Source organism: Homo sapiens, chromosome 22 (genome assembly GCF_000001405.40).
Source record: "Homo sapiens chromosome 22, GRCh38.p14 Primary Assembly".
Classification (NCBI taxonomy): Eukaryota; Metazoa; Chordata; class Mammalia; order Primates; family Hominidae; genus Homo; species Homo sapiens.
Window position 1 is genome coordinate 30296187 of NC_000022.11, and position 27758 is coordinate 30323944.

General features: G+C 50.9%; 1 protein-coding gene across 2 annotated transcripts in view, besides 10 other annotated features; it reads right to left on the reverse strand.

Moving 5' to 3' along the window:
* TBC1D10A (TBC1 domain family member 10A) overlaps window positions 1-27758 on the reverse strand; it is a 34952-nt gene that overhangs the window by 4197 nt on the left and 2997 nt on the right. Inside the window, exons 2-3 of one of the 2 annotated variants that reach the window (NM_031937.3) lie at window positions 8345-8444; window positions 3258-3365 (exon numbers count right to left, since the gene is read on the reverse strand). In NM_031937.3, the coding sequence (NP_114143.1) occupies window positions 3258-3365; window positions 8345-8444 (208 nt within the window). Of the gene's footprint in view, window positions 1-3257; window positions 3366-8344; window positions 8466-27758 lie in introns of both variants that reach the window. The other variant, NM_001204240.2, reaches the window with a different exon arrangement.
* Window positions 6347-6436: an enhancer, noted in NCBI's record as "active region_18832". NCBI's record gives its function as "activates an Ori minimal core promoter by ATAC-STARR-seq in GM12878 lymphoblastoid cells {active_cell/tissue: GM12878}" and the evidence as "EXISTENCE:reporter gene assay evidence [ECO:0000049][PMID:35858748]".
* Window positions 6597-6646: a silencer, noted in NCBI's record as "silent region_13606". NCBI's record gives its function as "represses an Ori minimal core promoter by ATAC-STARR-seq in GM12878 lymphoblastoid cells {active_cell/tissue: GM12878}" and the evidence as "EXISTENCE:reporter gene assay evidence [ECO:0000049][PMID:35858748]".
* Window positions 8490-8989: an enhancer, noted in NCBI's record as "H3K4me1 hESC enhancer chr22:30700665-30701164 (GRCh37/hg19 assembly coordinates)". NCBI's record gives its function as "activates a minimal SCP1, AML or CMV promoter by ChIP-STARR-seq in primed H9 embryonic stem cells {active_cell/tissue: H9 hESC(primed)}" and the evidence as "EXISTENCE:reporter gene assay evidence [ECO:0000049][PMID:30033119]".
* Window positions 12454-12513: an enhancer, noted in NCBI's record as "active region_18833". NCBI's record gives its function as "activates an Ori minimal core promoter by ATAC-STARR-seq in GM12878 lymphoblastoid cells {active_cell/tissue: GM12878}" and the evidence as "EXISTENCE:reporter gene assay evidence [ECO:0000049][PMID:35858748]".
* Window positions 12574-12663: an enhancer, noted in NCBI's record as "active region_18834". NCBI's record gives its function as "activates an Ori minimal core promoter by ATAC-STARR-seq in GM12878 lymphoblastoid cells {active_cell/tissue: GM12878}" and the evidence as "EXISTENCE:reporter gene assay evidence [ECO:0000049][PMID:35858748]".
* Window positions 13730-13779: an enhancer, noted in NCBI's record as "active region_18835". NCBI's record gives its function as "activates an Ori minimal core promoter by ATAC-STARR-seq in GM12878 lymphoblastoid cells {active_cell/tissue: GM12878}" and the evidence as "EXISTENCE:reporter gene assay evidence [ECO:0000049][PMID:35858748]".
* Window positions 18652-18711: an enhancer, noted in NCBI's record as "active region_18836". NCBI's record gives its function as "activates an Ori minimal core promoter by ATAC-STARR-seq in GM12878 lymphoblastoid cells {active_cell/tissue: GM12878}" and the evidence as "EXISTENCE:reporter gene assay evidence [ECO:0000049][PMID:35858748]".
* Window positions 22794-23152: an origin of replication, noted in NCBI's record as "region spanning amplicons 4-5; peak of nascent strand synthesis determined by quantitative PCR of size-fractionated nascent DNA". NCBI's record gives the evidence for it as "EXISTENCE:fractionation evidence [ECO:0000100][PMID:19815620]".
* Window positions 22794-24169: a biological region, named in NCBI's record as "origin of replication in TBC1D10A".
* Window positions 24001-24169: an origin of replication, noted in NCBI's record as "amplicon 8; peak of nascent strand synthesis determined by quantitative PCR of size-fractionated nascent DNA". NCBI's record gives the evidence for it as "EXISTENCE:fractionation evidence [ECO:0000100][PMID:19815620]".

Consider the following 27758-nt stretch of genomic DNA (forward strand, 5'->3'; position numbering starts at 1 on the left):
CTTCTCTGAGCAATAGCTACCAGCTGTTCCCACTTCTCTGAGCCAGGCGCTAAGCTGGGCACAGGGTACCTGTGGGCCTTACTGATCCTGCTCCCCAACCTCCAGAGATAGGACCTATCATTACACCCTGTTCGCAGATGAGAAAACTGAATGTCAAGGCCTCATGTCAAGGTATTTAACTCTGGCTAGAAAAATGGTGGAGCTGGGACTGGAAGCCAGGTCTGACTCAAAGCCGTCCATCCCAGCTCCTCAGCTACATGCCTCCCTGTGCAGGTGGCGTCAACTATCCAGGAAGCCAGGTGTGTGTGAGATCTGCACAGAGCTCTTTCTGGAAGGACATGACATCTGTCAAACCATTAACCTCAGATACTTCTCTGGGTGCCGAGGTTTCAACAAAGTTTTACTCTTTTCTTTGAACTTCTGTGAACGCTTCAGTATGTGCACCTTTACAAAACAACAAAGCCATTACAAAAAGGAAAATCTTTTCTTGGTCATTTGAAATGTTCTCTACCTTGATCTGCATGTTGGTTACATGGATGTGTATTATTTATCAAAACTCACTGAACTGCATGCACATTCAAGATCTATGCATTTTACTGTATGTAAATTCATACCTCAATTTTTAAAAAAGAAAGAAAAAATAAATAAGGAGGAAGCCCAGAGGGCTGAGCAGGGAAGCAGAGTATTCACCAGAGGAACCAGAATGTGCTGAAAGGTGTGGCCCAGGCACCTTCATGGGAGTGTTGGTTTAAGTACAAGTTGCCTGCAGGGCAGGGGCAGCATCAGGGAAGGCCCTCAGGAGGGAGGCCAGGTCCTCAGCAAACATACCCAGTGGGCGCAGACACAGGCCCTGCCCTGACGAGCAGGTGACTTCATACAAGCCCCTTTCCCTCTCTGGCCCTCAGTGGGAGTGTCCTAGCATTAAGCTCAAGAACCTAGGGTGCCAGGAACTTGACTAGAGGGTAAGGACTGAGAGGAGCGGCTGACAGAGTGTTCAGGGCTGGAGGGGACAGGGAGGGGCTGGGGCCTCCACACAGAGCCCTAGAGCAGGCACATAGCGGAGCGGTGGATGCGTGCCTCTGGGGCCCCACACACCCTTGTGATGGGGGTCTGTGTACTGTGCACCTCTAAGTACTGTCTGAGCGCAGTGCAGGTTTGCTTTTGTCAGAATGGGGAAGAGGGCCCCACAAATTCTCCTAGCAGTTCCCATGAGGTAGGAACCCGAAAACCCCGGAAGTCAGTTCCTAGGATGTGTTCATCTGGCACTTCAGCAGCCTAAGGCACTTGGCCACACATGGTTGGTGAGAAAGGAAAAGAGGGTAGCTGCAGATCGAAAGGGCACCGGCAGACAAGCAGGTACCATGGTCATGGGGCCTGTAGCCTCCACCAGCCTGAGGGGTACTGGCGCCATCATAAGGTGAAGCCAGAGAAGAAAGCCAGGTAAAAAAGGACAGGAGGTCCTGCCTGCCCAAGGAAGGAGGAAGAAATAGCACGTGCAGGAGAAGGAGCCACCAGCACCTGCAGAGCCTGCCCTGAATGCTGAGGTTGGGATGGGCCACCTGGACTGGGTATTGAATGGAGGGCCCTGTGGGGAGAGAGCACAGAAACAGGTGCATGCTGCCATCACCAGACCCCCACTGTGCCCTGCCTCGGCACAGGACCCGCAGCAACCAGGGGAAGCTCCTCATGCTTCCTCTGGGTCACCCACAGGCAAAGTCTTTCCAGGTGTGCTCACAAACCATTCTTCCAGCCCCCAGAACCATGCAGGAACCCGTCACTCAGCTTCGGTGCATCAAGAAGGCCTTCTCTGCAAATCCACCTCCTCACACAAGCAACTTTCCAGACCCCCTGGGGGGTGGCTGATTCTTCTCTGGAAGCACAGCTCTACACACACATGCACACAGCTCTGTGTTCTGCTGCACACACACTCATGCTTGCTGAACCACACAGCCAAGAGGCTGACCAGGCTGCCCACGCTCTTGGCTCTCATGCCTGGCTCTGGCAGCCTGATTTTAACTATGGACTTGGACTGAGGTTCCCACCCCTGAGCCTCCCACTTTGCCCAGGATGCGGCCCCTCGAAATGGAAGAGATGTAGCCACTAGGAGGAAGACTCTGGAGTCAAGAGGCTGCTCCAGTGTGGCCTGGTATTGGTGCTCTGGGGAATAATCCAATCAGCCAGATTCAGACCTACCCCAGCCAGACACTCTACCAGCTTCCCTGCCCCTGCAAGTCCACGTGTTGCCAGCAAAAAGCTCTCGCCCTCTCCAGGTCAACAGCAGAAACTCTAGGCTACCTTGCCCTGCTCCTGCCCAGTCATCTCAAGGAACAGGTTTGGCAAGACTGGAGTGTTCAATGAAGAAGCATGAGATATGTCAACAAAGAGCTGGTGGTAGGCAGCTCTGCTCTGTCTCACTGTCTGCCTGTCACCAGTCCCAAGGGCCTGCGAGAAACCCCGATGCCTGCGGCCAGATCTGGCAGGTAAGCCGGGGCAACCCCAGGGAATCCAACTGCTTCCCCATAGTTCCCTGGGGGAGCAGGCTGGAGGAGCTGCCCAGCTCTGAATGGAGAGGTATTTTACTCTGGCCAGCCATGGGGCAGGGAGCAGCAGGAGGGATATCGGGACAGGAGGAGGGATAACAACAGAGGGCACCCTCTCTGGCCACTGACTGGCGTCTGACCCCTTGAGCTACTTGGGCAGTTCCCTTCAGCCCCCTTGGGTTTGGCTCTGCTACTCCTAGGGCTGATGACCCCACAAGACACACAGGTGGGCTGTGCTGGCCAGGCTTGGACAAGGCAGGAGAAAGTAGAGGATGGGAGGCCGGGAGACACTGAAGGACCTGTGGTCCTGCTAGTCAAGCCCCCATAGGCCCAGGGCACAGGGCCCAAGGCAGTCAGGGAAATGGTCTGAGTGTCCCCTCCTGATGACCAAGAGCAGGGAGGTAGCCTACTGAGCCCAGGAAAGCAAAACCTGAGTGGTCATCAAGAGAAAGAGCTGGAATAGGGGGTACCAAATCTGGCCATTCCACTGAGGGCTGCTCAGGGCTGGAGCCTCAGTTGTACAGACCCTCCAGGAGACACAGGTACCCAGGACTGGGCCGGTCTGGCCTGCTGGGGCCTGGGCAGTTGGGCACATGACTGGAGGTTTCATGGACTGCTCATCCTGTGAGGTTCAGGTGAGCACATGGAGGATTGCCGCCATGGGGAGGACGCCAAGAGATGCGGAAGGGAGGGCAGGGCAAAGGAAGGGAAACTTACGTCAAACTTTCCAGGGTTCTGCTGTAACTTCACCTTGCCTCCTGACAGGTACTGCCAAGCACGGCCCCGCAGAGAAGGCGGGATGCCCTTTTGGCACCGCAGACGAATCTGAAAATCAAAAGGACAGCTGAGCCCATGCAGCCACCCAGGCAGCTCCCCTAGCCCAGCCCCTCTGCCAATGCGTGGTGGGCCCTCAGTGCACACAGCAGCAAGAGCAGAAACAGGGAGAAAAGAGGACTTTCGCCGGGCAAGGTGGCTCACGCCTGTAATCCCAGCACTTTGGGAGGCCGAGGCGGGTGGATCACCTGAGTTCAGGAGTTTGAGACCAGCCTGGCCAACATGGTGAAACCCCGTGTCTACTAAAAATACAAAAATTAGCTGGGTGTGGTGGCGGGCGCCTGTAATCCTAGCGACTCGGGAGGCTAAGGCAGGAGAATCATTTGAACCCGGGAAGCAGAGTTGCAGTGAGCCAAGATCGTGCCATTGCCCTCCAGCCGGGTGACAAGAGCAAAACTCTGTCTCAAAAAAAAAAAAAGGACTTTTCCTACTGTTGCTACCATGCCAATCCTATGGTGCGGGGAGAGGAGGTGCCTGCAATTAGATATGCTAACACCAGGTGATGGCAGGGTCCCACATCCCTGGTGACAACACAGGCATTCCTGAGGTTTGCCATGGAATTCCAGACCCTCATAACTATCTTCTGAATCAAAATGGAACCCTATAGGCGGGCACGCTGGCTCACACCTGTAATCCCAGCACTCTGGGGAGCCGAGAAGGGCAGATCACTTAAGGTCAGGAGTTCGAGACCAGCCTGGCCAACATGGTGAAACCCCGTCTCTACTAAAAATACAAAAAATTAGCCAGGCATGGTGGTGGGCGCCTGTAATCCTAGCTACTTGGGAGGCTGAGGCACGAGAATCGCTTGAACCCAGGAGGTGGAGGTTGCAGTAAGCTAAGATCGTGCCACTGCACTCCAGCCGGGGCGACAGACCGAGACTCTGTTTCAGGAAAAAAAAAAAAAAAAAGGAAAAGGAACCATTACAAGTTGGGTGAACCCCATAGTCTGTCACCAGGGAGGGCATTGCACTGTGTGCGGCTCAGCTGCAGCCACAGGGAAGGTAGCTCATGAGATGAACCAGAATGTGCCCAGAGGTGTGGCCTGGGCACTTTCACGCAGGTATGTTGGTTTCAGCAGCCATGTGGCAGGATACCGCCAGCCTAGAGGGGAGAAATCTCAGCAGAACTCTGAAGGAAGATGGGAGCTGCTCAAATGGCTCCCTCTTTGTTTTGGTCAAGAATCCCCACTCTCCTCTCGTTGACCCTGAGCTCCCAACATCACCAGCCTGGGGCATAGGCAGCTGGCCTGAGTGTGAGTCCTGATCTCAGCCCTTGCTAAAATGGCCCAGGTCTTCTCTGCCACTCGTAGAATGGGAGAAGTGAGGGAGGAAGTATTTGAGGCAGCTCATGACCCAGAGCTAGTGCTCAATTCCGGCTAGCTGTTTTTATCAGGAAAAGTTTTCACTGGCAAAACTCAATTTGAAAAACTATCAAAACGATCATGTCTTTTACAAATGGGGCATTGAGGGTAGGGGAAAATTCGTGGGGGAAATTTCATCACACAAGCAGAGTGGGGGTAAATTTGTCATACAATCAGAAACCCTACTACCTCCTAGCTGCACCGCACAGGCTGGAGGGACCCAGCCCCGTGTACTTTCTACATCACCAGTGGGCTCCTCCTGGGCTTGGGACCAGAATGAGGCTCTGAAGGCAGTTGCCCTGACCCGTCAAGGTGGGCAAGGACAAAGGCAGAGGCATCACTCCTGTGAAATGCTGTGGTGGGGGAGGGGTGAGATGGCCAATGATACTCCCTCAACCCCTGCACTAAGCAGCCTGACCTGGGATAAAGGGGATGGGCGCTCGGGGCATGAGAAGAACATCTGGATGTGGGTTTGAATCTAGCGCTGACCTTAAGCCAACCACTTCTCAACTGTAAGATCTGAATAATACCTACTACTGTGCAGAGTTGTCAAAGGAGTCCATTAGAGAGGGAAAATGTGCTTAGTGTGGGGCCTGACACAGTCTGTGTTCAGTAAGCAATGGCTTCCTCTCTGCCCCTCCATCCCAGGAGGATGCTTGACACAGAAGCCCAGGACCTCAGCTCACACCTAACTTCCCCTCACCTAGAAACCCCCTTCAACAGTCCTGCTGGAAGCTCTCAGAGGAGGGAGTACAGAAGCCCTGGCCTTCCTGGGGACCAGTGCAAACAAGAGAAAACTTTCCAAGGGTCAGAGAGAGTCAAGAACCAGGAAGGAGCCAGGCAAACAGGCTGAGGGTGGTGGGGGAAGAGTAGCAGTGGCTGGTCACAGGTGCCAAGTGAGAGCTTCTGGGACTGCCTAGAAAGGAGGCAGAGGAAGGGGGCTGAAGGGAACTGCACTAGACGCAAGGAAGAGTTTCCTGCGGCTATGGGACAAGGGTCTCCTTAAGGAAGCCAACTTGGGCAGGCTTTGGCAAAGGGATGTGCTTTAGCCCAAAGCCACAGGCCCTTCAGGCTCTCCCACAGAGCTAAGCTCAGCAAGAGGCAGCCCCACATCATCACAGCCCCCATCATATTTGGCCTTCTCCAGGAGAGCCCTGGAACACTTCGCGGGCAGCAAAGAGCTGGGAGTACAGCCAGCCTTTCCCACTCTGGCCTCCTCAGCATAAAGGTGCTGGAGGGGGTCATCTCTACCCTGCCTGCCTTAGGGAGGATGGTAGGGACCAGTAAGGATAAAGCATGGGAAAGTATTCCCAGAAACCACAGAGGATTACCATTCTCTGAGGCCAGGCCTTGGGAAAGGAGGTCTCTGATGAAAGCTGAGTGAGGACACACCCTTGCCTGCTGAACTCTGTGAGGGCAGGGCCCTGCGGGAAGACAGCATTCCAGCCCCAGCCCTGCCTCCCTGCAGGACCAGAATTCTGTCCTAGACATGGCTGGGAGTCTCCGGAAAGGAAGGCACCCTCCCAGCAGGACTATGTATGAGTCCAGGAGAAGTGTTGGGTCTGAGCCCACTTCCTGAAACAGGTATTATACTTCCTGTGCCACGACTTCCTGACCAGAGGGAGAACTCAAGCCTCCACAGGCAGGAAGAGCCCCGAGGGCAGGGCCCAGTATGGCCACAGCTGAGATGGCACGAGGGGCACCCAGTGGATGGTTCTGGGCTGGAGAGAAGCAGTGAGTTAGGGCCTCTGGGCACGGTGGATTGAAGCACTTCCTCTGGAGGCCTCAGCTGGGCAGGGGCAGGTCTTGGGCTCTAACCACAGTGCCAGGAAAGAAAAGGGGAAGTGTCAGCTGCTACTCTGCTGAGAGGTGCTCCCCGAAGCTCCCCTCTGGAATCCCGATTTTCAAGAACACGGAAGGTCCCTGCCAACCACCAGTCACCATAACAGATTGCTGGAGAGCAAGCTACAGCTCACAGTAAGAGCCAGAGGAATGATGAGGCAGGGAAACAGAGCCAGAGTCAGGCAGGAAGCAGGTGAGGAATAACTGTCTTAACATTGTTTTTTAAAAAAGAGATAGGCTGGGTGCAGTGGCTCATGCCAGTAATTCCAGCACTTTGGGAGGCCAACGCACATGGATTGCTTGAGCTCAGGAGTTCCAGACCGGCCTGGGCAACATGGTGAAACCCCATCTCTACAAAAAATACAAAAATTCGCCACGTGTGGTGACGTGCCTGTGGTCCCAGCTACTTGGGAGGCTGAGGTGGGAGAATCACTTAACTCCAGGAGTTCGAGGCTGCAGTGAGCCAAGATCATACTGCTGCACTACAGCCTGGGTGACAGAGTGAGACCCTGTCTCAAATAAATAGTTAGATAGATAGATAGATAGACAGACAGACAGACAGACAGACAGACAGACAGATAGATAGACAGATAGCTATAGAGAATAACAAGCAAGAGCCCAGGTCTGGGTGAGCCTCTCCTCTCATAGCACAGGGCTTCACCATCTACGATACAGTCTACGAAGCACTTACCACCACTTCGTGGGGAGCAACAGGATTATCACTCCCATTTGGCCAGAGAAGCTGAGGCTGAGAGGGTGAAGTGACTTGCCCAGAAGTTCCACAGTTAGCCACAGGTGTGAAGAGAGGAAAGGAGTGGGGCTGGGCCCAAGTCTATATGCCTGACTGTCAGTCCTGAGCTTTCTGTGAGGCCCGGCAGCCAGCTGTGCCAGCCTGGATCAGACCAGAGTGTCAGCTGATGAGAGTGGGCAATAGGGTTCATTCTGTGCATTAGGAACTTGTACAGAGAGACCCTAGCTGTAAGGCTCGGAACAGGCCTCCTCTAGGCCAGGTGGTAACACCATGCTGAGGGCAGCCAAGGATATCAACACACACACACACTTAAGAGTGGTGGGCAAGAATGTTCCCACAGGGCAATAGAGCTAGTGTCTAAAGACAGCCTCACTTGAAAAGGACTACTGGGTGATTTCATTTTCGTAAGACTATCATTAAAGTGTGAAGTTACTTTCTTCTTTCTTTGGCCAGGAGTCAAGAGGGAAGTCATCAAGTTAATCTAGAGGGTAAAGAAGGCCTCGTACTGTGGTGGCTAAGAGGGCAGGTGCTAAAGGTACACTGCTTGGGTTCAAATCTTGACCAGGTCATCTGTAAAGTGGGGATACTACTATTACTAACCTCACACTAGGGTGCTGTAAGGAATTATCCCAGGCAAGTGCCAAGCACAAAGCAAATGTTCCATACACGCTAGTTACTGGCAGTATTGTAAAGTCCTCCTTGATAGTTGGTAAGCAGCACTTAAGTCCTTCCCCTGGGAAGGCTAGAAGAAAGCTGTGTTATGGCTGTTGGCTAAGAGTGGCTTTGAGGTTTAGCTCCAGGACAATGTTCTGCATGAATCTGAAGTCATTGTGTTAGGGCCCAACCTTCCCCCTGCCTTCAAGCCAGCTTCTGTCCTGCACTGGCAGTTGGAGGACACCTAAGGCATCTGGCAGTTATAGAAGCCTCTGCTTTCCTAAGCTGATGAAGTTCCTCCCTCTTCCTCCTCCTCCCCAAGCTGCCAACTCCCAGCCCAATACCTGAGGCCAGGCCCCTCACCTTTTTGTGCTTCTTGGCCATCCATTTGTCCCAGTTGTTGAGCATGTCCAGCCACTTGGACTCCCTCTGCCTCAGCACCTCCAGGGGTACTTCCTCCAGCCTGTGGAGCAGAGGGCAGGGCCTGTGAGAGGTGCCAAGGGAAGCAAAGGCCCTGGCTTCATTCCCAGCCGCCAGCCTGGTCAGACCTCCATTCTTCCTGCCTACCATCCCTGCTGTTCCCTTCAGGACTGCTACCTCGGACCATCCTATTGCAGATGAGAGGGAACACGCCACCTCCCCATCCACCGCCTCAAGGCATAAGCTAGAGAGACAGCAGGTGGTTCAAGTGCCTACTTCCCTAATGTGGCCAGGACCCATGGTACCTCTCTGAGGCAGAGGCTGAGTGAGTGTCTGCATCTGTGCAGCAAAGCAAAGCATTCCTGTCCTGGGTCTGCCTTAGTCAATAAGCCTCTTCAGAGGGCCGGTGTACAAGGTGCAGAGTTGAACACAAAAACTAGTCAAACGAGTACAGAAATAATATGCTCACCTCTTTACTTGAGCCAAACTCATTACTCAGAGTTTCCCCAATTATGCCCTGGCCCTTTCCCTCTCAGCCTTTATTCATGCCAGTAACTTTGCTGGAATGCTTCCCAAATCGTCTCCACCCATCAAAATCCTACACACACTTCAAAGCCCCATCAAATACCACTTCTTCTATCTGTAGATCTACTGACTGGGCAGCTAGCACAACTGTGTTGCAGTGTTCTAGGGCGAGGGCCTCTGGATGGGTTATGGGGATGCCGTCCCATGATTAAAACAAAGTCTTGACCCTCATGGAGTTGATATTCTGGTGGGCACTGAATGTGGGGAAAACACCTCAGCACCAAGGTGCTTTTTTCTGCTTTCTTAACAGAATAAGGTATTAATGACAGACAAGGAAACAGGCTTAGAGAGGTAAGATACTCAGGAAAGGTATCTTGCTTAGCGTTCAATCAGTGGAAAAACCCAGACTCAAATACAAGTCAGGTCCCAGCCAAGAGCCAGCACACAGTGCTGCCTGACCTCTCAGAAAGGAGCACAGAGTCGGAGGCAGCTCAGAGGAGGTTCTCAGGAACAGGACACAGTGGGGCTGGGGCTTGGCCCAGGCCTGAGTCTCTGATCCTCTCTCTGCCGGAAGGAAATGTGCTACTGTGACTTTTACTGGTTGGAAGAGCAGAGGGAGGGGCCCTGGCAGAGCTGAGGCCTCTAAGACACAAAAGGGAAGGTCTTCTTCAGTGCATTTTATCTGGGGAAGTGCCCAGGCCTGAGAGTAGCCTTGGAACTGAACGTCTGAGGAAGGACTACAGCCCAGGCAAAGGAGGCCCCCTCAACGCACTGATACAAGGCACCCCACCTTGAACTGCTGCCCCTCTCACCACCTAAAGGCAGAACTAGGGCATGAGTTACTCCTTTCTTTGCCTTTCCTGATAAAAGCAAAGCAAGGACCACGCCTTTACAAAAGGTCAGGTAATTTACAAAGGGATATGTATCTCCGGGCAACCCCCAAACATCCCAGGAGCAGAAACTAAGGGCCCACACCTCCCAGGCCATGATACCTTCCACCACCTATAATGCACTGCTTATGCAACAAGTCAGAGGAACAGCCTTCTAGTTAACCAGTCAGAAGGGTGCCCAAACTGAGTCAACAGGAAGTTCTGGCAGTTATGGATGTAGATAATGGCTAATCCAATATCCCCACTGCACAGATGAAGAAACTGAGGCTTACAGAGGGCAAGGTTTTCACTTGAGATTACCAGTTTCCAAAGAACTCACAGGTGATTAAATATGTCTATCTGATACCTCAACCCTCAGTCTGGCTTTATTGATAAAATCTAACTGCAGGGACTCAAAGATGCCCATTCTCCCAACTGCAGATACACAGAGGAACATGTTAAATTCAGAGTTCTTTTAACTGATGCCAGATAACAGCTTTGGCAGTTTCAAACCCCCAATGTCAAACCTCAAACCGGAACTTCAGAAGAGTACAAAACAAACTACCATATTTCCTGGATTCTAAGACACCACTGATTTTAAGCTACACCATTGATTTGGCAAGATCTTCTCAGAAACAAACAAAAAACCCACTACTACTTTAACTGTGCATGTCAATTGAAAGATCTGTTTTGATTTTTTAAATCCTAAATTAGGAAAATTTTAAGGCAATATGGCCATCTGAATGGCTTTTCCTTTAACAGCAGAGGAGTTTAATCTACCTGGAGATGGTGAGAAGGAAGACACTGGAGGTCTGGCTGTACCCAGCACTCAGCGTACCACATGCTCTCTAACTGCAGGTAGATGTCTCTAGGCACAGGATATACTCCTGAAACATTGCAGGCTATCTATTTTTTTTGTTGTTAAATCAGAAGAGTCACATATCCTTCAATTAACTCAGTCAGGATCTTAGAAAACATCTGATCCAACTGCTGTCTGATATAGAAATCCTTTCTACATTAGGCAAGTCCCCTTTCTTCTCTGATCCTCAGTTTCGCTATATGCTTGTACAGTCTATCTTATGAATTTGACCCTCTAAGGAGGCCCACAGAGGAGCTGTGGGATGAAGCTGGGGCCAGAGGGGTCCCTGAAAATAGTATGACAGTGTAGAAGCCCTGAGGAGGCTTCCTCCTGACAGTGGAGAGGGCAGGAACCAATTGCTAGTGAGAGAGAAGCTGGCCCAGTATAAGGGACCACAAATGGCCCATGGGGGATGTCGCAAATCTGGCGGCCTCACTCATCCTCCAGAAAACCCCTCCTTCCTTAAGGTAGACTGAGGGAGTCTCTGAAGCCAAAAGAGACAAGTGAGACCAGTTTCTTTTGGCTCAGCCACTGCTGGAACTCCTCCAGGGATGGGCCTTCCTTACCTCCAGGTGAAGTCACTCTATTGTTAAACAGTTTCCACTGCTAAAGCTTTCTTCCCCACCTTATGCCAAAATTGTCCTAGTAACTTCCACCGTAATCTCAACACCGCTTTTGAGGCCATACAATTCTCCCATACCAGGCACACACATGTTTATCCCTCACCATCCACTCATCCCTAACTGAATGCCCTTTCTTCTCCCTTCTCCAAGTGACAGTAACCCTTCAGAGCCCAATATTACATTAAAAACCATCACTACAACAATAATAATATCAGCAACAGTAGTTACCATTCGTAGATTATTTACTACTTACAATTTTCTTCTCAATGCTTCACATACCTTTATCACATGTACCTTTTGTAATAACCCTACTATAACATCATTCTCCCCTTTTTATTTTATTTTTTTGAGACGGAGTTTTGCGCTTGTTGCCCAGGCTGGAGTGCAATGGCGCGATCTCGGCTCACTGCAACGTCCGCCTTCCGGGTTTAAGTGATTCTCGTGCCTCAGCCTCCCGAGTAGCTGGGATTACAGGCGCCCACCACCACACCCAGCTAATTTTTTGCATTTTTAGTAGAGACAGGGTTTCACTATGTTGGCCAGGCTGGTCTTGAACTCCTGACCTCAGGCGATCCACCCGCCTCGGCCTCCTGAAGTGTTGGGATTACAGGCGTGAGCCACAGCGCCCGGCCCATTCTCCCCATTTTAAAGTAGAATCCAAGGCTTAGTAATGTTAAGAGTGTTTTAAGACCATGTAGCTATAAGTGGCAGAGCTGGGACTCAAACCCAGGCCTGACTGACTCTACAGCTCATGCTCTTGACCCTTGTACTACACTTCTCTGCCTCCACAGGCCAAGCCCTCAGCCTCCACACAGCCTGCATGCCTGCATGCCTGCATGCCTGCCTGCCTGCATGCCTGCATGCCTGCATGCCTGCCTGCCTGCCTGCCTAGATCTCGTAAAATGTCCTCCAACCTGAAGATCTTCATCCTGGCTCAGAACACCATGTCTCATGCTTTTTAAACTGAGACCCACACAAACACAACACACATACACACACACAACCAGAATACATTTTAGGAAACGAGTTGCCCTTACATGTACTAATGCACTCTGATATTTCCAGATTGATTTTCTATTTTTCTATTCTATTGTTTTAAATGCTGGTCACAAGCCCCTAAAACTGATTTCAGCACCAACTGACAAATGAGTCAAGTCATTAAGTGTGAAATATGCACTTCATTACCACTTGCTCATATTACTCAGCACTGTCCCTCCCCAGCTGGACCGGGTCTTGAACTTCTTCTGTGACTCCTACCACACGCCCCAGGTGTTCAACAGCTGCCTGCCTGGCTTTCTCCATGACATCATTACCTTCATCTGCACTGCATCAGGGCTACAAGCTACTTCTGCCTTAGAAATTGTACGTGTCCCTCTAATAGCCCAGTGAAGTGGGGCCCTCACAGATTAATTACTATTTCCATTTGGACCATGACAGACTTGGCCTGATCAGAAAGGTTGTATGACTTGGACAAAGTCACAAAGCTAATAAGTAAGTAGCTGACCCAGGGCTTCCCCTCTGTCACAGTGACCTATATGCTATTTCCAGTTCCCTGGGGAAGGCTGTGGGGAAATCAGGCCCTTCTCCAGATGCTTCTGTGTGGCTCCATCTCTGGCGCCCAAGCCACTGGAGACAGTCTAACCCCCTCCTCCAGTGTTGTGACTGCCCCAGTGAGTGGCCTGCCCGTACCTAGCAATGCTCAGAGACACCAATACACTGGATGGGATGGTTTGCCAGCACAACCTCAGGTGCAGATGGTAAGCCTGGGTAATCTGCCATTTTTTTTTTTTTGAGACGGAGTCTTGCTCTGTCGCCCAGGCTGGAGTGCAGTGGCATGATCTCAGCTCACTGCAACCTCCACCTCCCGGGTTTAAGTGATTCTCTTGCTTCAGCATCCCAAGTAGCTGGGGCACCACCACACCCAGCTAATTTTTGTATTTTTAGTAGAGACGGGGTTTCACCATGTTGGCCAGGATGGTCTCAATCTCTTGACTATGTGATCCACCCGCCTCAGCCTCCCAAAGTGCTGGGATGACAGGCATGAGCCACCGCACCCGGCCAGGGCAATCTGCCATTTGCTGGCAACCCCAGCTTCTGAGGAGGAAAGGCTCAGAGGAGACAAAGGTGGCACCTAATCACAGATCTTGTCAGGCTCCTGGACTGGAACAGGCTTAGCCATGCTGTGCCACGTCATGGTCCAAGGCAGCAGTGACACTCTGCTGACCCCATTCTCTGTAGGTTCCCAGTTTCCTAGCGTTCTCCCAAAACCCAGAGGCTTGAGGCTTCCAAAAGTTCAGAAGGACAAGACTGCTTCCCAGGCTACTGAGACCAAGGGCTGGGGTTCTCTCTTCCCTTGTCCTTCTAGACATCTGCTTTCTGCCCAAGCACATCTCAGCACCTCTGGCTAGGCAGGTTCAGCAAGGGCAGTGTCCATGCTCATCACCTCCTTATCCTAGCCTGTCGTGGGAGATAAATCTTGATACCAAGGAACCCGTCTAAACCCTCCTCCAAGCCTCACTCCCTGAACCAGCCCAAACAAAGAGAAATACACCCTAAGCAGAAAGTCTGAGGTCACAGACCACAGGACTGATCCTCCTCTCACCCATAGGGGAAACCAGGTGGGGTGTAGGGGAGAATAAATAGAGTGGGGACTTGAAGTTAGCTGAGCTAGGTACTCCAGTTCTGCCATCTACTAACTGGGAGACCATGTGCAAAAAGTGACAACTTCTTCATCTTTCAGTGGGGTCATAACGCACACCTCATCTCTTATAGGGCTGCAATGAGGAATAAATGTGTACAAGGGCCCAGCCTGGTGGGTGGCCAGCAAATGGTAGCTATTAGGTGACTGGTATTTGCGGCTTAACTAGCAATTTCACATCTCTTTTCTCATCTGACTGGTCCCCATACACAGGCCTTTGAGGAAGGCAGGGCATGATTACCACCATTTTACTCATGAAGCAATTGAGGCTCTGAGAGATTACTTAATTTGCTCAATGGTAAACAAATTCTAACTCCTGGCCGCTGATCCAAGCTCTACCGCTTTACAGCTGTGTGAAACAGGGCTGGCTGCTTTGCTCTCTGAGCTTCCAGTTCCTCATCTGTAACCCAGGAGGAATGCCACCTCCTCAGAGAACATTGGTAAACATGATGTGAGGCAATTAAGAGCTGACACTTTCATGCGCTGGCCGTGTACTAGCTCTGCCAAGCACTACACAGGCACACAATCCCCCAAGGAAATAGCTTTAATTATCTCCATTTAATAGACAAGAACACTAAGATTCAGCACAGTGGAGTAATATGCCCAAGGTTACATAGCCTGGAAGTAGAGGCTGCCACCTGAGCACTAAACTATACAAGACATATAAAGTCCCCCGCTCATACCATGGCTTCAATCCCTGTCACATTCCCTTCCCTCTTCTTATCACCCTCTGTGCCGAGAAAGGCAGGGGTGAATAACGTGAAAAAAACCCCTCACACTTGGGTCTCCAGGATGGAGAGGAGGCAGTTGGAGGAAGTCCCACCAAAGTGTGGAAAATTGGGAAGTGGATGTGCAGGGGGAGCATGGCCAATCACCGATCCAGAGGGTTTCCCTCTCCACCCAGAGCCTGAAAGTGAAGTGAGGACAAACAAAAGGCTGACCTGTTTTGCATACTAGGCAACAACCTCTGGAGTTCACTACCCTAAGAGGTGGTAATGAATGAAGGTATAAATGGCTTTTAGACCAGTTCCATAAGAAGTGATGATGAGAAACCAAAGGCAGGAGAGGGTAGGCTGGTGGTGTGCAAATGGCTGTCAGGACTGGGAAACCTATGAGATCATGCAGTGAGGCCATCCCCTCCCCAGAAGGTAAGCGGTCTGCCTGACGCCACACACTCTGTGAGTTGGTAGGAAAAAGGAAGAGGGTCTGCAGCAGCCTGGCACTCCCTTCTGGGGCCCGGCCACCCCTGCCTAGGAGCCGGCTGGCAGTGTCCAGGCTCCCTGTCTGAGTGAGAGAGTCTGGCTTGCTTCACTCTCCCTCCTTCCCAATGCAGGCTAATTCTGGGGCTGCCTGTCTTTCCCATGAGGAATTCCCTGGCTCTGCTCCTTCTAGTGCTGGGTCAGTGCACAATGGTAAACAGGTTCTCTCCACCCTTCACTGGCCTTGGTGCCCTGGACCTCTGCCCAGCTCTCTACTCTGCTCAGCTCCACCCTACTCAGTGTGAGAAATGGTTCCTTTAGCACTAGCCTTGCTGGCTCCCAAAAAGAAAAACCAAGGTATCTACCTTCCTCTGATGCACTCATCTAGGGAAGGGCGTAGACCACAGAGAAACTCCCAAGCAGCTCTCCCTGACAACTGCAGAAAGGTATTAGATAGGGTCTTGCTCTGTCGCCCAAGATGGAGTGCAGTGGCATGATCTCGGCTCACTGCAGCCTCCGCCTCCTGGGCTTAAGCCATCCTCCCACCTCAGCCTCTCGAGTAGCTGGGACCATAGGCTCATGCTACCATGCCCCACTAAGTTTTGCATTTTTTGTAGAGACAAGGTTTCACCGTGTTGCCCAGGCTAGTCTCAAACTCCTGGGCTCAAGTGATCTGCCTGCATCAGCCTCCCAAAGTGTTAGGATTACGGGTATTAGTGACTGAGTGCCGCCTGAGACTATTCTCAACAGAAGACATCTTTTCTCCAAATCCCAGCTCCTACCAGGCAGAGTGCTGCTTGAAATTCCCTTGCTGGTGACTGAGTCCTTGGATCACAATCTCACTGCAGGCACCCAGGGGCCACCCTGACTCATCCTTACCAAACTGCTAGATCTCATTGATAGATCTTACCAAAATTAGTCTTGACTCACTGTTTATATAAGGCCCCTCCTCTGCCCAGACTCGTCCATGGCTCCCTACTGCCCTCATTATCCAACAGAAACCTCAGACCCTGTAGCTGGGCATTACGGCACACGCCCTGTCATCCCAGCTGCTCGGGAGACTGAAGTGGGAGGATCACTTGAGCTCAGGAGTTTGAAGCTGCAGTGAACCATGATTGTGCCACTGCACCCTAGACTGGGCCACTGGGTCACAGGGCAAGACCTTTTCTCAAAACAAACAAAACAAACAGAAAACAAAGAACAATAACAACAACAACAACAAAAACAACACAAAAAACAAAGAAACTTCAGGCCCTGGCTCTCAAGGCCCTCCTGTTCCCCTGCACATCCCTTTCTCCCCTAGTCCCATCTCTATAGGCCCCTACCCCTGAGCCATCTTCCTTCAACCCCCATTCAATTTTGGTGCCATCATCTTGGGAAGCATCATTCCAAACTCCTTCTCATCTCTACAAAGCCTCTCCTAACTACTCCAGGGACAGAACACAATCAGGCCCTCATTATATTCCATGCACACCTTTCTAGAGCCTGTGTTCCAGGCCCTGAATCTACAAAGATGAATAAAATGTGGTCCCTGCCCTTGAGGAGGTCAATCTGGCATCAACAAACAGGTAGGTAAATAACTAGCACACAGAGAAGAAGTGCCATCACAGGAGCATGTAGAAGGGGCTAGGAGACTGCAAAAAGACCCCAGGGTGAGGACGGGCTGTTTAGAGAAAGCTTTAAAGGGGAATTGACTTTTGAATTGGGGTTTGAAGGGTGACAGGAAGTAGCTAGGCTGAGAAAGGGGAAAGAACACACCAGGCAAAACACTCAGTATGTTCAAATGCTAGTTAATAGGAGAGGGAATGGCTTGTTTGGGGAATGTGAGCAGTCCAGTGGGACAGGTGGAGCTTCTCCACCTAAGGGCTGTTCTGCAGAGGCAGCATTTCATGAGAAGGCGCGTTCCTGGAGGGCAGGGGCTCTCTTGGCCTCATTCTCTGCAGTGTGTCCCAAGCCTGATACCTAGCTGGTGCTCAATAAATGTGTGTGTGTGTGTGTGTGTGTGTGTGTGTGTGTGTGTGTGTGTTGTTATTGTTGTTTTGAGACGGAGTCTTGCTCTGTCGCCCAGGCTGGAGTGCAGTGGCGCAATCTCGACTCACTGCAACCTCCGCCTCCCGGGTTCAAGCTATTCTCCTGCCTCAGCCTCCTGAGTAGCTGGGACTACAGGTGTGCGCCACCACGGCCAGCTAATTTTTTTTTTTTTTTTTTTTTTTTTTTTTTTTAGCAGAGACGGGGTTTCACCATGTTGGCCAGGATGGTCTCGATCTCCTGACCTCATGATCCACCCACCTCAGCCTCCCAAAGTGTAGGGATTACAGGCGTGAGCCACCGTGCCTGGCCAACAAATGTGTGTGTTGAGTGATTCATGAGCTTGGTGACCTCAGACACTCTGAATTTCATTAAGTGTTGTCAGCAGTGAAAAGGGAATATGCTCCTCTACCTTGATATCAGGTGGGTAAAGCATAGTAAGAACTTGATAAAGAGCATTCCCTCTCTGGCCTGGTACCAGCTCTAGATCTTCCTCAAAGCCCAGCACAGGGCTGAGCACAGATCTGCTTGATGATGGCATTTTATAACATTACAATTCTAATATTCAATTAACTTAACTGAATGTCTGTTATAACAACAGACGCTTGCTATGCACCAGACACTGTGTTCAGCACTTAACTTACATTATTTCATTTAATCCTGACAAGCCCATGAGATAAATCCTCTAATTATCAACTCCCTTTTGTGAATAAGGAAACTCAGGTTCTTCAGAAAGACAATAACTGGCCAAAGTCCAAGTCAAGCAGGGGATGGCACTGGAAAGTGAATCCGGGCCCTGCTCATCTCTCCCTCTGTCACTCAACTCCACCACCAAGTGCTGTCCAGTAGGCTGGGTATACACAGCCTTGCTCCTGAGGAGCTTGGAGCTCAGTGGACTCAGAGGCACAAGCTGTGTGATGCTTGGCAAGTCACTTTGCCTCTCTGGGACTTGGTTTCTGCTTCTTAAAATGGGGACTATGATGATAAATACTCTCACAGAATTAAACGAGGTGATGTAGGTGAAAGCCTCGTCCACCATACAGGCTCCTCTGTGAAATGGCATTACTGTGACTATCCTGGGAGGATGGAGGGGGTCACTCAGAAGCAGAACAGGAAGCTCAGGATGAAAGTCTACATGGTGCCAGGCACAGTAGCTCACGCCTATAATCCCAACATTTTGGGAGGCAGAGGCCAGAGGATTGCTTGAGGCCAGGAGTTTGAGACCAGCCTGGGCAAGAGAGTGAGACCCTGTCTCTACAAAATTGTTTTAAAAATTAGCCAGGCATAGTGCTGCATGTCTGTAGTCGTAGCTACTCAGGAGGCTGAGGTGGAAGATTGCTTGAGCCCAGGAGTTCAAGGCTGCAGTGAGCCATAATTGTGCCACTGCACTCCAGCCTGGGTGAGAGAGGGAGACCCTGACTCAAAAAAAAAAAAAAAACCCACCAAAAAAACACAAAAAACCCACAAAAAACCCACAGAGGAGGGTGGTGGTAATTATTAAGCAAACTCAGACTCCTTCCCCAAGTGACTACCACCACCCAGGAGGACAGAGGCCCCGGGCAGCACTCTGGTTGCAAGCCTTGAGTGGAATCTTTCGGGATGCCCACCTTTGCTCTTACTTCTGCTTATCTTTACAGACCAAGGAAAGGGAAGGTCAGGCCCTCAGATCACAGCCCTGCTCCAGATGACTCAGCGAGGAACTCATGGGGGGATTCCCAACCTGCCCTGGCAGGCCAGGAAGCTCCAGACCACAAGCTGAGTGGGACTGGCTCCTGCCTAACCTCCACGGTCGTGGGGTAGGTTGGAAGAGCACGTGAGGGAAGCCAGATTTTCACCCCAAAGCTGCATTGCTCCCTTACCATTATGCTAAATGTCTGAGGTAAAATCTCAGAGGGTAATTTACACTCGAATTGTGAGAGCCGCCATGTTCCACAGAGCCCTTACTTTGTGACAGACACTGTGCTGGGTGCTTTACCAACAACATCTCCCTTAATCCTAACAATACTCCTGCTCCCAATGCCACCGCCACACCCAGCTAATTTTTTTGTATTTTTAGTAGAGATACAGTTTCGCTATGTTGCCCAGGCTGGTCTTGAACTCCTGGACTGAAGTGATCTGTCCACCTTGGCCTCCCAGAGTACTGGGATTATAGGCATGAGCCACAGTGCCCAGCCTAGGTTCTCTTTCTTTGTGAAGCCAAGCGAAGATGAAAGGGAAAGCAGCAGCATTCTCCAAAAGTGGCTGGCCGCGGAAGATCGCTTCTGGACTCACAGTGTCCAAGGCCCAAAGCACTGAGTAGGGACAGGAGTTCTCCGAACTTATGCTCCTTCACTGGGTCACTCACGACCCAGCTACTCCTGCCTTGTCTTGGGGTACATATGAGGAGCTGTGTGTGGAGTCCTGGGACAGGAATTGTGTCATCCATCATGACAACTTAGCAACAAAAACAACCTGAAAAGCCTGGTAGGAGAAGTGCAGACACTTGGGGCTGGGCTGAAGTCCTAAGACTGGGACAGGAAGGGGAGGAGGAGAGGCCACACAGTGGTCACCAACTTTGGTAAGATGGGAAATTAGGAAGGAGGAATGCTGGGTGCCAGGCCCTGTTCCATCACTTGCTCACCCTTGGTTTCCTTATCAGGAAACAGGGTAAAATAATAGCCTACCAATTTCCCATTGCTCCTATAAGGGTTACTGAGAGGCAATGGAAATGAAAGCACTTTGCAGACTAAAGAGCTAGATAAATCAAAGCATCCCTTGATTTGATTACATTCCCAAAGTCCTGAGGGACACCGATCCTGCACACAAAGAGAAGTCCAGCCTGGTATGGTAGTTCATGCCTCTAATTCCAGCACTTTGGGAGGCAGAGGCAGGAAGATCACTTGAAGCCAGGAGTTTAAGACCAAGCTGGGCAAAAAAGTAAGACCCTGTCTCAATCAATCAATCAGAGATGTCCTCTCACAAGAGGAACAGAGCATGCTGGGAGCAGTGGTTTCTGTGGCATGTGCCATGGTGACTCCCCTGAACTTGCGTGGTACCACATAGAGAACTTCTCAAAGCACTGTTTTTGTTTTTGTTTTTTTTTTTTTGAGATAGGGTCTCCATTGCCCAGGCTGGAGTGCAGTAGTGCAATAATGGCTCACTGTAGCCTTGATTTCCCAGGCTCAAGTGATCCTCCTACCTCAGCCTCCCAAGTAGCTGGGACAACAGGTGCGCACCACTATGCCCAGCTAATTTTTAAATTATGGGATGTAGAGATGGGGTCTCCCTATGTTACTCAGGCTTCAAAACACTTTTCATATACTCCACGGTCAGTCTCAGGATGTCAGATGTAGCTGTCTTCAACACCATCCCACTAAAGCTGCCTTAGTTGGCTGGCACAGTGGCTCATGCCTATAACGTAAGCACTTTGGGAGGCTGAGGAGGGAGGATCGCTTGTGCCCAGGAGTTTGAAACCAGCCTGGGCAACATAGTGAGACTCTGTCTCTACAAAAAGTAAAAAAAGTAGCCAGGCATGGTGGCTTCAGCCTGTAATCCCAGCTACTCAGGAGGCTGAGGTGGGAAGATCGCTTGTGCCTGGGAGGTTGAGGCTGCAGTGAGCTGTGATTGCACCACTGCATTCCAGCCTGGGTGACAGAGCCAGACCCTGTCTCTTAAAAACAAACACACATACACACACACATACAAACTGCGTAGTTTTTATGTGGGGAAAACCGAGGTTAAAAAGATTAAGCAACTTTTGACCGGCATGGTGGCTCATGCCTGTAATCCCAGCATTTTGGAAGGCCAAGGTGGGTGGATCACCTGAGGTCAGGAGTTTGAGACCAACCTGGCCAACATGGCAAAACCCTGTCTCTACTAAAAATGCAAAAATTAGCCGGGCATGGTGGTGGGCACCTAAAACCCCAGCTACTCGGGAGGCTGAGGCATGAGAATCGCTTGAACCGGAAGGCAGAGGTTGCAGTGAGCCAAGATCAATTGTGCCATTTCACTCCAGCCTGCGCAAAAGAGCAAAACTCCATCTCAAAAAAACAAAACAAAACAAAACAAAACCAAGATTAAGCAACTTTCTCAAGGTCACACAGCTAGTTAGTGGCTCAGTAAGGCATAGGGTTAAGGTCTCCAGATCTCCGTTCAGCAGTATTTGTTTACACTATGCTCCTAATCCAATTATCTCATTTGATCCTCACAATCCTTTGTATACAACCACACCTGGTAACTTCTTTCTCTTTTTAAAATTTTTTTTAGAAATGGGGTCTCGCTCTGTCACCCAGGCTGGAGTGCAGTGGCACAATCACAGCTCACTGCAGCCTCAAACTCCCAGGCTCAGCCTCAGCCTCTGTAGTAGCTAGGACTACCGGCACGTGCCACCATGCCCAGCTAATTTATTTTTTAGAGACAGGGTCTCACTATGTTGACCAGACTGGTTGAAACTACTTGTTTAATGTCTGATTTCCCTGTGAGGGCAAGATCAGGTCTATATCCTGAGCCTAGCACAGGGCTACACATATAGTAAGTGCTGGGTGAAAAAAACTGGAAGCATTAGCCCCATGGTTGGGTGAGGGATGTGCCTAAGTCACATATTACAAAGGTCAGTGGTGGAGCCATCACTGACACTCTGACCCTGTGCCTGGTTCAGAGCCCTTTCTCAAACACTAGCCTAAAATCCACATTTCCAGCCAGAATCTCTCATCTCCGGATGCCACTGGTGGTGCCCCTTGTAAGTGCTGAGGGGTTTGCCTTCTCACAGGTTTTGTCCCAGCCAAGGCACCACCTCTAAGAACAGAATAAAGGTGCTAGGTGAGGTCAAACAAGCCTCCAGTTGCCAAGTGCCTCCCCTTGATCAGTGTATGCTGTGTCCAAAGGCCCAAACCCACCCTTCCCAGTTGCCATACCACCCTAAGGTAGGTTTTCCATGTCCTCAGGCCCCAGTCCTCTCTTCTGGTTCTCCTTGCATCCTTCCTTATCATCCAATATGTCTGCCAGGCAGAGACCAGGAAGCTCAACACCGCTTATCCTATTCCTTCCCCAACCAGGTCAGCCAACCCACTCTCCTGCTGGAAGGAGACAAAGAACCCCTTGATGTGCCCGGGGCAAGCCAGCCATACCAGGCACCTTGGGGAGCCCAGAGCTGTGACAACGCAGAGTCACAGCAGCCCACTGCCCTCTTCAGAGGAAGGCCACAGCTGGCCTTGCTTCCCTGTAGCCAGAGGGCTCCAGAATGGACTCTGTAAGAGGCCAAAGCCACTTCAGCTAGTCCAGAGCCTTCCTACCTCTCCATCAGCCCACATGGCAGTCATGAACCAAGCACTAATGATTTGCCAGCCTCTTTATCCTCACTGCTCCAGACCTCTTCCAGGTCTCACCACAGCCCTTTTAGGCCATCCTTGATTCTCCCAACAGGTCTCACTGCCTGCAATCCAGCTCCTCTTTATGCCGTCTTCCATGCCAGACCTGGACTAACTTTTATGCAACACAGGAGGCCTCAGCCTGACATTCAAGGCTGGACTCAGACCGCCCAACCCATTTCCTGGACTAACTTTTATGCAACACAAGAGGCCTCAGCCTGACATTCAAGGCTAGACTGAGACTGCCCAACCCATTTCCCTAACCTACCCTTGCTTCGTATCATTCTACTGCCTCCCGTTCTTCTTGTCGTATCATCCTACTGCCTCCCGTTCTTCTTGTCATCTCTGCTCTTGCCACACATGCTCAAACGACTGCTTTTGGGAGGGACTTTGCACATGGGCCCCCTCTCATCCAATGGACTGCCCTGCTTTGCCTCTTCTGAAGCCTGGATCAAATGCTACTACTTTCTAGGCTCCTGCAGGTGGGGCTGGCTGCTTTTTCCTCTGTACTCCCAGAGCAACTGCATGCCTCAATGACAGCCTTCATCACTCAACACTGGAAAGATTTGTCTGTGGTTCTATTTTTCAGCAAGTCTGTGAGTGCCTTGAGGGCAATAAAACACAGACATCTTGTTCAGTTCTATATCTCTTGTCCAAATCACAGGGTCTGACAGAGTAGGTGCTCAATAAATGTGTGGTAAATAAGCTCACTGCTAAGATGGATAAGCTGGCAAAAGTAAGCCTTGGTTTGCTCTCCCAGGCTGCTGGGTCTGCTGAGTATTTCTCTACCTGAAGAGGTGTTGAGTGCTAAGCTATGGCAGCCTCTGAAGACCTGGACAGGGCACAGAATGGAGTAGGGTAGGGTAGGGGGAGGAGAGACGGGAAATGGAAGGATGAGACAGAGAAAGCCAAAGTTGGCAGCTGCCCTGAAATCCTAGGTGGGGGCTTCTAAGCTGGTTAAGTATCAGGAGCATTGACTTGCCAGTGGGGTGGCCAGTACAGTGTTCTCCCTGCTGGAGAGGGTCTCTGGGCCCAGGATTGCGGCAATAGATTTACCAGGGGCAGACTAATCAGTTAAAGGAGGCCTCCTACCCCTCAAGTGTACTGTCTGCAGGATAAAGTGATCAGCTAGGACAACGGATGGATGATGGCAGGGCTCTGCTCTAGTCGGCAATGCATCCTGAGCCTGTAGGCTCAATTACCTCGACTGAGGAAGAGAAAGGGGAAGAGAATGGTCAGTGCTATGTAGCTAGAGGAGCACTGGGTGACAGTCGGAGGACCTGGGATCCCTCTCCGGTCTGGCTCCACAGTTCACTAACAGCAAGAGTTCTCCAACCTTCAGATTCCTCACCGGTACAAGCAACATAATCCCTGCCTCATCTACAAAGTAACACTTCTTCCAAAAGGCACAGACTAGATATCAAAGTCAAATGGCCATTATGCAGCATGTTGGGGTCAAGACCAATGCAATCCGGACTCTGGCCTATGGGAGGACTAAATCAGGCCTGATCTGGCCATGCTTCCAGGACCTCTCCAAGGATTTTCCTCCCTGTGCCTTTCTCCTGCTTGATGGCCATGACCTTTCCCTGTACTGAGACCTGCTCTGCCCTCCATACTGGAAGGGGGAGGTAGCCAGATTCCTGCTAACTCCTGCCCTGGGTGTGGGGACCTCAGGGACCTTAGGGACTTAGGGACAGTAAGCACCTGGCACCCTGCCTGCTGCCACCTTAGCAAGGTGTAGTCACTACTGGATGCAGTGTCAAGAAACAGGTTCTAGTCCCAGTTCTGCCATTTACCAGCTGGCAAACCTTGGGCACTTTTTCCTCGGTCTTCAGTACGCTCATCCACAGAATGGGGATAATCACCCCTCTCAGGGGAAGTAAGGATTCACCATGGGTTAGGGTTCATTCCTGCCGACAGGGGCTGGGCCTCACTGACACTCATCATTATAGCCAAAGATGGGAAGTAGAAAATGAAAAGATAGAACCACGAGCTGCTCCAGTCTTTAAGAGGGAGAAGAACATTCACTGAGCACCTACCCTGTATTATTAGTTCATTTAAACCTCAGAATGATCCTGCAAAGTCAGTGTTATCATAACCATTCTGCAGGTGAGAAACTGAGGCTCAGAGAAGTGAAGCAACATGTCCAAGATCACACAGCCAGCCAGATTCTGGCGCTTGTGTGAGGAGGGAGCACACAGTACCTTCTCTTGCCCACCTCGATATAAACAGATTGGGTGGCTGGGCCACAGCCAGGCCTCACTGCCCCTTGGGAGGTCCTGTTTCAGGCCCAGATGCTGGTAGGACAAAACATCAAGTAGGTGCTACCATCTTATCTCTTTCCCACAGCTTAGAGTTTCCCAGCAGGCGGACACTCAGGCACCTTCCCAGGGTAGCAGCTGGTGTGCCGGCTCCCTCCTTTACCAAGTCAGGTCTTGTCTGAGGACCTAACACTCACAGGGCCACCAAACCGGATATTCCTTCGAGGCTAAGAAGGGAAAAATGAGAGAAAATGGGAGGGCCTGCAGTCTAGAGTCACAGCCCAGGGCCCCATATGTACAAATGCCTCCTTCCAGATGGGCCACCCAGGGACCACCCCAATGCCAGCTCCATGCTCTCCTGGGATCTGTAACAGCTCAAGAAAAGTAGATGCTCTGAGTTTACTAACTAGAGAATAAGGCAAGGAGTCAGAATCTGGCCTGCCAGGAGGGCCCTGACCCCACTCCAATAAAAACTGGCACACAATAAACTATAGGGATGCCAATTAAGCCAGTTCTATGATTTCCAAAGTTGGCTAGTAATGAAAGGCCCAGGGAATGAGAACTAAAGAAGGCAATACTGCTATTCCAGATGTTTCTCCCTGGGCCCAGCTCAGATCCCTTGCTCCCATAACAGGAAGCCAACACCCATGGGATCCCAAAGAGCATAGCTCCTCACCTCATTTGGCCTGCAGACTGGGCGGACTGAGGCTGGATGGGAAGCTCTCAGCCTCAGGAGGCCAGACCTGACAATCACATAGGAAAAGGAGAAGAAGGTCAGGGACCACCTCTCTCAGGTCACCTCCCTCGGGCCAGGAGACCTGGTATAAAACTTGTATCCTTCTTTCCCTTCCCAACCACTTCCTCTATGCTACAGAAGGGACACCAAACAAGTCTGTTCTTCCTGCTCCAAAGTGACAGGAGGGGTATCATCACTCCTCCCACCCTTCCCTGCTGAAAACATCTTTTTCCTCAACTGGTCCTGGGCCTTTTTTTTTTTTTTTTTCTTTGAGACACGGTCTGTCTCACCCAGACTGGAGTACAGTGGCATGACCTCAACTCATTACAACCTCCGCCTCCCAAGCTCAAGCGATTCTCCTGTCTCAGCCTCCTGAGCAGCTGGGATTATGGGCGTGAGCCACTACCGCCTGGCTAATTTTTGTATTTTTAGTAGAGACGGGGTTTCACCATGTTGGCCAGGCTGGTCTCAAACTCCTGACCTCAAATGATCTGCCCACCTCGGCCTCCTAAAGTGCTGGGATTACGGCGGTGAACCACTGCACCCGGCCCTTCCTGGGCTTCAATGCCCCACTCGGTCTCCAGCCAAGCCAGAAGAACTAATGCTGTCGGCACTCTGATCTATGCCTATGCCACCCACAGGATCATTTACTGGCAAGCTGCTTTCTTGTCTGTGGCTACTACTCAAAAACAGACAGGGACCATCTCAGTCTCACTAAAGGTTCCCTGCGGAGTAGGCTCAAAAGACAGACAAGGTGAAGAAATGGAAAGGCCTAGGACTGGGAATCAGGAATTCCAGGTTTCTCACAGGCCTCCAGTTTATCCATCTGTATGCTGATGGCCATCTCTAAGGTCACTTTCAGCTTTTTTTTTTTTTTTTTTTTTTTTTTTTTTAGGCAAGGTCTCCCAGGCTGGAGTGTAGTGGCGTGATTTCAGCTCACGGTAACCTCCACCTCCCTGGGCTCAAGCAGTCTTCCTACCTCAGCCTCCCAAGTGGCTAGGACTATAGGTGCATGACACCACACCCAACTAATTTTTGTATTTTTTGTAGAGATGGGGTTTCACCATGTTGGCCAGGCTGGTCTTGAACTCCTGGGCTCAAGCGATCGCCTGCCTCAGCCTCCCAAAGTGCTGGAATTACAGGCGTGAGGCACAGCACCTAGTCTTTTTTTTTTTTTTTTGAGACAGGGTCATGTTCTGTCTCAAGAAAGAGCTGGGTGGAGCACAGTGGCACCATCTTGGCTTACTGCAACCTCCACCTCCTGGGCTCAAGAGATCCTCCCACCTCTCAGCCTCCCAAGTAGCTGGGATTACAGGTGCCCACCACAATGCCCAGCTAATTTTTTGTATTTTCTTGTAGAGATGGAGTTTCACCATGTTGCCCAGGCTGGTCTCGAATTCCTGAACTCAAGGAATCCACCTGCCTCAGCCTCCCAAAGTGCTGGGATTATAGGCGTGAGCCACCATGCCCTGCCACTTTCAGCTTCCTGACTTGAAATGTCTCCCCGCAAATAAGTATTAATTACTCCACCGCAGGCCTGAGGAGAAAAAGGTGAATGAGCCTCTTCCCAGTCCTGAAGCTAATCAGTCTAATGAACTGGTAATGACAACATATTCTTATCCTTCTGGGCCACTTCTATTAGCCTCATATACTGCTGAGAGAGTCGAAAGTGCTGAGCTAAGTCAGGGAAGGTAAGAGCAGGCAGGTGACTGCTAAGACACTTCTGTTCTACCTGTCTGACACCTGATATCCTGCAGGGACGAAAGGCCATATTTATGGATGGTGAAGGCAGTGGAAACTGTACTGACCTGGGAGTCAGAAACCCTAAGTCCAAGTCCTAGTTCTGCCACTAATATGCTGTGATCTTAAGAAAGTTACTCTTCTCTCTGGGCCTCAGTTTCCTCATCTATGTAAGTAAGGGCTGAGCTGGTCAATCTATTAAGATCCCTTACAGGCCAGGCATGGTGGCTCATGCCTGTAAACCCAGCACTTCGGGAGGCTGAGGCAGGTGGATCGCCTGAGGTCAGGAGTTCAAGACCAGCCTGGCCAACATGGTGAAACTCCATCTCTACTAAAAATATGAAAAATTAGCCAGGTGTGGTGATGGGTGCAATCTCTGCCTCCCAGCTACTCAGGAGGCTGAGACAGGAGAATCACTTGAACCCGGGAGGCAGATGTTGCAGTGAGTTGAGACTGCGCCACTGCACTCCAGCC